The sequence below is a fragment of the Homo sapiens genome, chromosome 5, assembly GCF_000001405.40.
Source record: "Homo sapiens chromosome 5, GRCh38.p14 Primary Assembly".
NCBI lineage: Eukaryota > Metazoa > Chordata > Mammalia > Primates > Hominidae > Homo > Homo sapiens.
The window spans coordinates 2353263-2364408 of record NC_000005.10 but is presented as its reverse complement, the minus strand read 5'-3'; the positions used below and the strand labels follow the sequence as shown (position 1 = coordinate 2364408).

The 11146-nt window shown below is 42.4% G+C and overlaps 2 annotated features.

Moving 5' to 3' along the window:
- Nucleotides 4746-5247: an enhancer, noted in NCBI's record as "NANOG hESC enhancer chr5:2359276-2359777 (GRCh37/hg19 assembly coordinates)". NCBI's record gives its function as "activates a minimal SCP1, AML or CMV promoter by ChIP-STARR-seq in naive H9 embryonic stem cells {active_cell/tissue: H9 hESC(naive)}" and the evidence as "EXISTENCE:reporter gene assay evidence [ECO:0000049][PMID:30033119]".
- Nucleotides 10305-10805: an enhancer, noted in NCBI's record as "H3K4me1 hESC enhancer chr5:2353718-2354218 (GRCh37/hg19 assembly coordinates)". NCBI's record gives its function as "activates a minimal SCP1, AML or CMV promoter by ChIP-STARR-seq in naive H9 embryonic stem cells {active_cell/tissue: H9 hESC(naive)}" and the evidence as "EXISTENCE:reporter gene assay evidence [ECO:0000049][PMID:30033119]".

Here is an 11146-nt window from a genome sequence, read left to right as displayed (position 1 = left end):
GGAAGGCTAGCTGAAACCATGGCCTTCTGCAGAACATAATCTCTGACACCCGATCCTGAGTAGCCAAATAGTGACCCCAACCAATCTCAGAGCTTAGTATTTAGTCCTGCCAAACGGCAGAATTCAAAGAGTGGTGCCACCTGGCCAAGGAATACAGCCTTTGACCCTGCCCACTTAGAGCAGTAGTGGCACTCAGCCAGGAGCTCTACCTGATAGCAGACCCAGTCAGTGGTCTCACAGGACAGCAGAGCCCAGTCAGCAACCCCACATGACCTAAGAGTGCAGGCAGTCCAGCGACAGAGTCTGATGGCAAGCTCTTACTGCCCATTGTTGGTACCAGCTGGCCCATCCAGAACCACAGTCTAGACTAAGAGTAAAGGTCTACTTCTACCACAAAACAACTATAAATGCCAGAAGAGATGGCTTCTTCCTCAAATCCACAGACACCAATGCAAGTACACAACGATTAGGAAGAATCAGGGAGTTTTTGACACCACCAAAGGAAACTAATAAGGATGCAATAACAAACACTAAATAAATGGAGATCTATGAACTGACTGACAAAAAATTCAAAATACACCTCTTAAAGAAGTTAAGTGACCTACAAGAAAATACAGATAGAAAACTAAGTAAAATTTGAAAATTAATAAAAGAACAAAATGAAAAGTTTGACAAAGAAATGTAAATAACCACCCAAAAAGGGAACAAATAGAAATCCTAGAGATGAAGCATAAATGATTGAACAGAAAAATTCAGTAAATTTTTGTACATAATCAAGCAGAAGAATCAGTGAGCCCAAAGACAAGACTTTTAAATTATCCAGTCAGAGGAGGAAAAACAGAAAAACAAAAAAGGATGAAGAAAGCCTATGGGAACTATGGGACATCATCAAGAGAACCAATGTTCATATAACAGGCATTCCAGAAGGAGAAGCGTGCACATGAAACGTTCTCCCTGACAGATCATACTTAAGTCACAAAATCATTAACAAATTTAAGAAGATGGAAATCCTATCGAGTTTCTTTTCTGACCACAATAATATGTAACTAAACATCAATAACAGGAAGAATCTTGGAAAATTCACAAATGTTTGAAAGTTAAATGACATGTTTCTGAACAACCAATGGGTCAAAGAAGAAATCAAGAAAAATAAAAATGTCTTGAATAAAAACACAACATACTAAAACTTATGGAATGCAGAAATATAGTTCTAAGGGGAGGGTTTATAGCAGTAAGCATCTATATCAAAAAAGAGAAAGATATTAAATAAATAACTTAGCATTAGACTTTAAGGAAGTAGAAAAAGGAAAGCAAAGCCCAAATTTAATAGAAGGAAAGAAATAATAAAGATCAGAGCAGAAACAAATGAAAAAGAGAATAGAAAATCAAGAAAACTAAAAGTTGATTTCTTGAGAAGATAAACAAAATTGACAAACCCTTAGCTAGACAAACTAAGAAAAAAAAGAGGGGAGACTCAAATAAATATAACCAGAAATGAAAGGGAAACATTGCAACTGATGCTACAGAAATACAAAGGGTCATAAGAAACCACTATAAAGAATTATATGCCAAAAAAATGGTTGATCTAGAAGAAACAGATATATTCCTAAAACCTACAAACTATGATGACTAAATCATGAAGAAAGAAACAATATGAGTAGACCAATAATGATTAAGGAGATTGGATCAGTAATAAAAAGTCTCTCATCAAAGAAATTCTCAGAACCTAGTGCTTCACTGGTGAATTTTACCAACCACATGAAGAAGAACGAATATCGGTCCTTCTCAAACACTTCCAAAACATTGAAGTGGAGAAAATACTTCTAAACTCATTTTAGAAGGCCCATACTACCCTGATACCAAAGCCAAAAAAGGACATTACAAGAAAAGAAAATTACAGACCAATGCCCCCAATTAATGTAGATACAAAAATCCTCAATAAAATACTAGCAAACTGAATTCAACAGCACATTAAAAAGATAATTTATCACAATCAAACATGATTCACTCCTGGGATACAAGGAAGTTTCAACATATGCAAATCAATAAATGTGATACACCATATTAACATGATGAAGGACAAAACCATATGATTATTTCAATAGATGCAGAAAAAGCATTTGACAAAATTCAACATTTTGTATGATTAAAAACTCTCAACAAATTGGGAATAGAAGAAATGTACCTCATCACAGTAAGGCCCATATATGGCAAGACCTCAGCTAACATCATATTCAATGGTGAAAAGTTGAAAGCTTTTCTTCCAAGGTCAGGAACCAAACAAGAATGCCCACTCTCCCACTTCTTTTAAACTTAGTGCTGGAAGTGCTAGCTGGAGCAACTAGGCAAGAAAAAGAAATAAAAGGCATCCAAATATAAAAGGAAGAAGTGAAATTGTCTGTTTGCTGATGACATGATCTTATATATGGAAAACCTTAAAGAATCCACCAAAAAAGTTGTTGGAACTGATAAACAAATTCAGTAAAGTTGCAGGATACAAAATTACATACAAAAAATCAGTAGCATGTCTGTACACTAACAGCAAACTACCCAAAAAGCAAATTAAGAAACAATCCAATTTACAACAGCATTAAAAAATACTTAGGAATAAATTTAACCAAGGAAATGAAAGATCTGTATACATAAAAGTATAAAACATTGATGAAAGAAATAGAAGAAAACACAAAAAAATGGAAAGCTGTTCTGAGTTCATGAATTAGAAGGATTAATATTGTTAAAATGTCCATGTTACTCAAAGACATCTATAGATTTAATGAAATTCTTATCAAAATTCAAAATCCAATTACATTTTTCACAGAAATTGACATCAAAAAATATCACAAGGATTTAGTAATCAAAATAGCATGGTATTGGCATAAAACCATAGCAACCAATGAAACAGAATAGAGAAGCCAGAAACAAATCCACAAATTTTGAATCAATTTATTTTCAATAAAGTTACCAAGAACACACAATGGAAACAGCCTCTTCAATAAATGGTGCTGGGAAAACTGGATATCTACATGTAGAAGAGTAATATTGGATCCATGTATCACGCTATATATAAAAATCAACTCAAAGTGGATTAGAAATTTACACATAAGATCTAAAACTATAAGACTACTAGAAAAAAAACATAGGCGAAAAGCTTCAAGACACTGAACTGGCAATTATTTTTTGGATACAATTCCAAAAGTGCAGTTAACAAAAGCAAAAACAGACAAACAAGATTGCACCAAATTCAACAGCTTCTCCACAGCCTAGGAAAGAATCAGTAGAGTGAAGAAACAACCCATGGACTGGGAGAAAATATTTTCAAACCATACATATGATAAGGGTTTACTATCCAAACTATACAAAGAACTCAAACCACTCAAAAGCAGGAAAATAAATAACCTGATCAAAAAATAAAAGATTAGACATTTCTCACAAGAATATATACAGCCAACAGTTTTATGAAAAAAAGTGCCAAAACACTCGCACAAAAGGATACATGCTGCACGGGCTCACTCAATGTGGAAAAAAAAATGTATAACTCTATAAAAGTCAGACTTATGTAAGTAGAGAGTAGAATGGTGGCTACCAAAGTTTGTCAGAGCAGGAAAGGTGTTGGCCAGAGGGTAAAAAATTTCAACTGGACAGGTGGGATAAGTTTTAGTGATCTGTTGCATAGCCTGATTACCGTAGTTAATAATAATATGTATTTCAAAATTGCTAGCAGAGTAGATTTAAAATGTTCTCACTACAAAAAAATATAAGCATGTGAGGTGATGGATATGTTAACTACCTTGATATTGCCATTCTACAATATATGTATATCAAAACATCACAGTGTACCCCATAAATATATTCAACTCTTACTTGTCAATTACAAATAAAAAAAATCTAAAAAGGAAATTAACCAAAAAGTATAGAAAATAATGTATTCAATGGGTTAATTTTTATACCAGCAATGTGCTTGATTCTGAGACTGCAAAGGTGGACCTCTCAGAGAGCCCCTGACCTAATGAAGGTTATGGCACCAGGGAAAGGAAGTGGACACCCAGGGGGTTAATAAGAAACAGCAGCTTCGTCATCACCCGATGGCTAGGATAGTAAAAGTGAAGAGGCAAGTAGCTTAGGCCAGGGAGGGCAAGGGTTAGGAGGTGAGCTCAGAGAAGGCTTCCCGGAAGAAGTGGTCTCAGATGAGACCAGAAGAAGTAGCAGAAAGGAGCCAGGTAGGCCACACATGGGCAGGGATGGGTAAGGGCCATGCGCAAAGGAGCATGGGTAAAGTTGGGGTTGTCTAAATGAGCCAGAGTGGCTGGAAGTCGGGGGGAGGTCCCCAGAGGCCCAGTGGTGCAGAGGCTCTCAATTCACATCAGGGATTCTAAACTTTATCCTAAGGACAAAGTCGGGGTGTGACCACGGGAAAGGCCCGATCGGATCAGGCATTTAAAAAACCGCCCTGACTTCTGTGTGGAAAGTCTCATAGCCGTCTGGGTGGCATGCTAGGTTTGTGTGCGTGAGGGTGAGGTCTGAGGAGAAGAGGCTGAATCAGCGGCATTTAGGACCTAGAAAAGGGCAGAGTGGGAGCAGAGTGGGCATGACTCCTGGGGCTCTGTCCTGGGTAACATACTTCTCCAATTCCCCAATATGACTACACAGGGTCAGGTTTGGGGACTTGGTGGAAAGGAGATGAGGACAGTTTCAGATGTGAGTGTTGGAGGTGTCCACGGAACACCAAATAGAGACAGCCAGCAGGCTTTGTCCAGATGACTTCGGAGCTCAGCAGAGAAGGCTGAGCACAAGCTAGAGACTTGTGAGGGATTGGTCAGCAAAGATGTGAGGATCTCAGTTAGAGAAGTTGACTTCACCAGTCAGGTGAATATGAATATGAATAGGAAAGAGGCCCCAGGAAATGTTTTAATGTTGCTGCTATTTAAGGGCAAGACAGAGAAGGAAAACAACTTGGAAAGGAGCTGAGAAGCAGCAGCAGGGGAGGTAGAGAGAAAACCACAAATGCCTGCAAACACGAAGGAAAATGTTATTCTGACCCCAAGTCTCCAGAACAGAGGGCCCTATAGAGTTTCCAGGGGCTGTTCTTCTGTGTAAGATTGGACAAGATGATCATAGAGTTTTAAACCAATGCAGGAGCCCCTGTTCAATGTTGAAGTCCCACTTCTTCCCTGGGATGTGATGGGTCTGCCCCTGAAGGGACAGGAAGAACCAGAAGTGTCCCTTGCCTGCCTGGATGGGCACATACGCACCAAGGCACATTGGATGTTTCTGTCCAACCCCCATGATATTTAGTTTTTAGGAAGGCTAGAGAAAACAACAAACAAAAACTAATAAAGAGAAAGAAAGGGAGAGAGAAAGGGAGAAGGAAGAGAAAGTTAACACATCACTCAGTTTCTCAGAGCACTATTGGCATCTTATTTCAATAGCTCCTTCCTACTGGTGTTTATTTTGCAGAAAAGGACATCACAGAATAACGTCCAGATGCACACGCATCACTTGGCTGCCTCCGGGTTCCAATGTTTGAAGTTAACTACTGGACTCCTTGGGATTTGCTGCTGGGCTCCGTGTTCTGTGCTTTCATGAACAGCATCAACATTTACTCACTGCTGCTCATTTAAATGGCACCCTGCTCATTGTCATTCCCTAGGGATGATCCATTTCCCCAGCAGCGAGGTGTCCCTTTGAGCTGAGGAACCAACCTCCACCTCCCGAGGAGCACCCATGTCTCCATTGTCATCTCAAGGTGCATCTCTCTTACCTTGGAATCGTCTTCCCCCATCAGCCGTTAGCAGTCAGAAACCATCAAGTCATCCCTGAGCAAATATTAAAACATCAAACCCACCATACCACTCAGCATGCACACTGAAAACATCAACCTTAATTATGTTTTATGTTTGCGCACATCTTACACATTTGTTTTATGTTTTCATGTGTATATTTGCTTCAATGTTATCTCTTTTAAATTGTTAACTAGAGAGCGGAGAAGTATATTTTTAATGATGTTTGCACAAGGCTTAGCATTAAATCTCAACTAGAAGAACAAGGTCAAATCAAGTAATTCATGGGTGTTCAAACATGTACATTTTTCCAAATCAACAATTTAAAATGTGTATTATGGTGTATCTCTTGTCCATGTAGGTATCAGAAGCTAACATTTATTCAGTGCTTACTACACGTGTGTGCCTTTTCAATGCATTTATGTCTCCCAGTATAATAAAGGCAGGCATTATTATTACCTGCACCTGACAGGTAAGGTTCTTAAAGCACAAAGTGTATCACTAATTTGCCCACATTCACACTTCAGGTAAGCTGTGGAGTCAAGATTCAAACTTTCTCAGGTGGGACTCTAGTGTATGCTGCTCCCTAAACTCACTCAGGCTCCTCCATAATGGCATCTCTATGGTTTTCTAGGCTGCATAACAAGTTGTCACAAACTTAGTGGCTTAAAACAATATCCATTTATTATTTCAGGATTTCTGTGGGTCACAGGAATGAACACAGCTTAGCTTCATTCCCTAACTTAGGGTCTTACCAGACTACAATCCATACGTCAGCCAGGGCTGCAGTGTCATCAGAGGCTCAACTGGAGAAGGATCTGCTTTCCAGCTGTTATTACTGGCAGATGTGTCCCTCTGCGGTTGTAGTACCAAGGTCTCTGTTTTCTTGCTAGCTGTCATCCAGGGACCACCCTCAGCTCCAAAAGGCCACCCTAAGTCACTACTGCATGACATTTTCACAGCATGGCAGCTGCTTCTTCAAAGCCACAAAAGGACCCTCTCACTTGAGTCTGCTGAGTGGCCTCACATGATTACATTATTACCTAATCATGAGAGTGGCAGCCCATCATCTTTGCCACACTTGGTTGGTTAGAAACAAGTCCCAGGCCCCATCCACACTCAAGATTAGGGGTTACACAACAGCATGACTCATGGGTCACCCTAGTGTGTGTTTGCCTCAATGCTAGTAAGAAAACAATATTGATGCTGGAACCTCACAGTGTTAACTGCACTTGGTTGAATTTAATCTCCATTAAATCTCAACTTTTCTATCTGAGAATCAAGGAATACAACACTGGAAAGAGACTTGCCTGGTAGGAGATCTGAGCTCTCTCCAGGCTCTGCCACTGACACCCTTAGTGAGCACAAAGAGACCAGCACTGGATGGCCATACTGAGAATGTAATTTATTGTATAAGCCAGAATACTTGGAGAGTGAAAGAGAACAATGTTTTTTTAATTTTTTGTGGAGATAGGGTCTTGCTATGTTACCAGGCTGGTCTTGGGCTCCTGGCCTAAAGCAGCCCTCCCACCTCAGCCTCAGCCTCCCAAAGTGCTGGGATTACAGGCAAGCCACCACACCCAGCCAGCTGAGAACAATTATAATAATAATCCCACAATAAGTAAAACCAGAATCCCCCTGAGCAGATGAGGATCTCCAGCCTTGCTGGTGATACTCATCCCTTGGCACAGCCCTGGGAAGTGCAGAAGCCACAGGGAAGATGGATAATGTGGCAGGGGACTCTGCATGCACGTGATGACTGGACACAGGTGCAAACTCCACTGCCCATCCTCACCTCCATGCAGTCATGGATAAGCAGCTGTCTCCCAAGTGCAAGTGAGGACAATTGAATATCTTGTATTAAATCTTTGATGATGTACATAAAATTCTTAGCAAAAAGTTTAGAATATGAAAGTCCCTGATGAATGGCAGCCATTGTTATCACCATTACGAAATTAGATTCAATTTTTGGATTGCATTTTGTTGTTATCATTGTGTAACTTGTTGAAAATCAAGCACAAATGAGAAGCCCATCACTTTTGCTGGAGGTAGAAATCTTTCCTTGAAAATGGGAGCAGGATCTGCAGAAAGAGCCACAGACAAGGAGAAGTGTCTGGTTGGAAATTGAGTGGTGGTGCCTTCTCTTTGAGGGAGCCAGGAGGCTGGGACAGAGAGGGAGGAAGGGAGAGATAGGGTTTGGTGGTCCACAGAGAAGAACAGAGTGAAGTTGCATGAAATGGCCCACAAGCAGACAAGCAGAAAACATGCATAAATGGTTATAGAGATGTGGCCTCTGCAATCCTTTTGATTTGTTTTCACTGCATTTTCAGTGACATTTTGGCCTCCACGCTCCAATGTGGGCTCAAGCCACCAGCTGATGCATGGTCCTGGGTGAGTGTGGGATGGATTGAGTGTGGCCAGCCTGTGAAGGGCTCGGATGAAGTCCCAGTGCCTGCAGTACAGTCTGGGTGGCAATCAAGGGTCATGGCTGGGTTCAAATGTGAAGGAAAAGGAGACAGATGTGTTCACAAAGGGAACTCCTGTGGGGGTAACAGATGCACGGGGCTGAGCAGAAAGTGCAGGTGAGGAGGTAAGGAAGGAGGCATGGGCCAGGCTCTGGAGAGCAGATGCCAGGCTCATGAGGGTGGTGGGCTGGGAGGGAGAGGAGGAGGGAGGAGCCCCATGGCTGGGCAATGGCTTTGCAGGAAACTCACTAGAAACACAACTTATCAAGGCTCCCTCCACAGTCTAAGCAGATTCATTCTCTTATTTAAAAACATCCTGCATCTCTGTCACTGAATCCTGCTTTAATTGTGCACACCAGATGACATTTTCGGATAATTGGCCAAGCACATTGTCATCATTTTCCACATATCCGCAGGAGTGGATTTCATGCCACTCACATATTTCTAATATTTTGCACTTACCTTGAAGCTAATTCCTATCTGTTTTTAATATCGTGGCTTTTTGATGATCATAGCTCTGTTCACAAGTGCCTTGAAGGGGCGTTAAACAAAAATGCAAGGCATGCTGGGATCCTGTGCAGTTCCATGTTGCCCCATCGTGTTCTCTTTCTGACATTAGCATAAAAGAAAATTGCTGGTCATTACAGCATCCTTAACACTCTTACAGTCCCTCAGTACACTGTATAAAAATCTGTAATTATTGCAATAAAGTAGAGGCTCATATTATCCGTGGTGCATCTTGGTTCCTCTTCTGCAAGTCCCTCCCTGGGGCCTGTAATTGCTTTAGCCAACCATTTACCCAAAGCAAGAGACTAATAGAGAGTATATTATTGTTTAAATAATGCATTTGCTTTGAATATACAATTATGGAGAGGGGATGGGGAATCATGAGAGGAATATAATTTAGTGCAAATCTTCAGCAAGCAATCTGGGGTTCTTCAGTGTTCTCCTTTCAAAGGCTCTGAAAGGAATATGTTCATTTTCTTAGCCTGCATCTTAAATAAGGCTTGTCTATGCATGAATGGGGACGAGAATGTGTGGACTTTACTCATTTCTCTTATCCCAGTGATTCATAGCAAGCCCCATACTTTCATTGATTAATCAGTGACCTGCATCAATGGGTAATAAATTGAACTAAGTGATAATTTAGTTGTCATTGCCACAGAAGAGAGACGGCTGCCCTTGTTGAGCCAGCCAGATTTGAAGCACATTAAGCAGATATTTATTGAGGGTCTGTTATGGGCCAGAGACTGTGGGATTGTAAAGATAAATACACTGAAAACATTAACCTTGAGTATCTATAATCTAGGCTGGGTGGAAAGATAAAACACCCCATGGAATAGCATAGTACGCAGCTTGGAAGCTGCTAAGAGTCAAATATAAAGAGAGGCAGCCCCAAATGAGCAAGTCATTTCTGTCTCCCTGCAGAGTGGCTACCGAGCTCAGCCTTGATAGACAGGTGGTGCATCAGCAAACCAGAGTCAATGAAGCACTTGGAGGATCCCGTCCCAAACGGGGAAAACTCAAGACAAGAGACAGGTGCAAGCAATGGTTAGGCAACTCCAAGGAGCTCAGAAACTTCAGAGACAGCAGTGTTGGGCAAACCACAGACCCTGAACTCACATCTCCTCTGGACCAGGGGGCTCTGTAGGGTATGGAGCCTGCTCATGAAGGTGGCTGGTGTGGGAAACCCAGGAAGTGAGTTGAGTTTTTCCCAAGAGTGGTTATAGTCCATCCATAATCAGATTTTTCAGGCCCGTGAAGGCTTCCTAATCAATGAACTGGCATTTTCAGAAACTCTGGGATTGTACAGACTCTAAGGCACCTCTGGTCTAAGGAATAATAAGCATGGTAGGCGATCAGGAGTACCCCCGCGACCCTGGGGCTTAGCAGGCAGAGCCAAGGAGGGAGACTTGGAAGGTCTGAGCACCCAGGGAGGCCAGAGCCAGGCCAGGCTGCAGAGAAGGCCAGCCAGGTGTGGGAGGGTGGACCATGTGCACCAAGAGAGCACAGCCCAGTCACGACCTGTGGACGGGAAATCAAGGAGGCCGGGAGGCCATGCACATTGTTAGCCCCACACCAAGGGGCTGGAGTCCCACATGCAGGGGAAGGTGCACTGCGGGTCTGGGGATGTGCAGGCTGAGCCTCCTCCTTACGCTGCTCCCAGAGCATGGTGGGATCTGAGTTGCAGAAAGAGAACAGACACCACTCAGAGCACCACAGTGCAGAGGGCGGGGATTTCCATTTAGTCCAACTGAGGTTTGCAGGAAGTGCATCCTGGTCAGTCCCTGGGCACCGCCTGATGCAATGACGTAAAGATGAGGAAGACATGACCTGGTCCTGGGGCTTTCTGCAGAGACTCTTAGAGGGAAAAAGGCCTGGGAGAGAAGGTTCTCAGCTGGGGTGGAGCAGAAAGCATGCCTGCACACACGAGGGCAGATTTGTAGATCCAGGGACTCCCCAGCTGCATGGAAATTGGGCATCCCTGGTCACCCTGTCGTCTAAAGCCCAGTGAGTGGGCTGCCAGGTCAGCTTCCAGCCATAGATGTGGTACTGATGACAGCCATCACCTTGGGCCACTGCATAAGGCGAACATGGAGGATCCCAGCTAGGGAATTCCTGCTCCAACCTCTTCCACCATGCAGGGTGGCTCAAAGAACACGCGGGACTCAGACTTGTCAAGGCTAAGAAAGCCTCTCCCTCTCTATCAGCTTATTTTGGAGGATTTTTTTTCAAGAGGCCAAGTGCTTGAGGAACAGGGAGTGTCGCCAGGTGACTCAAGTATCAGGCTGCTTAATGGCAAAGACGAGATTCCACTGCTCAGTCTGGAACTCAGGGGCAAAGGATCTGCTGCTCTTTTTCTCTCCATGATGCTTTAAAAGTGTATGCTAATTCTAATCCCCA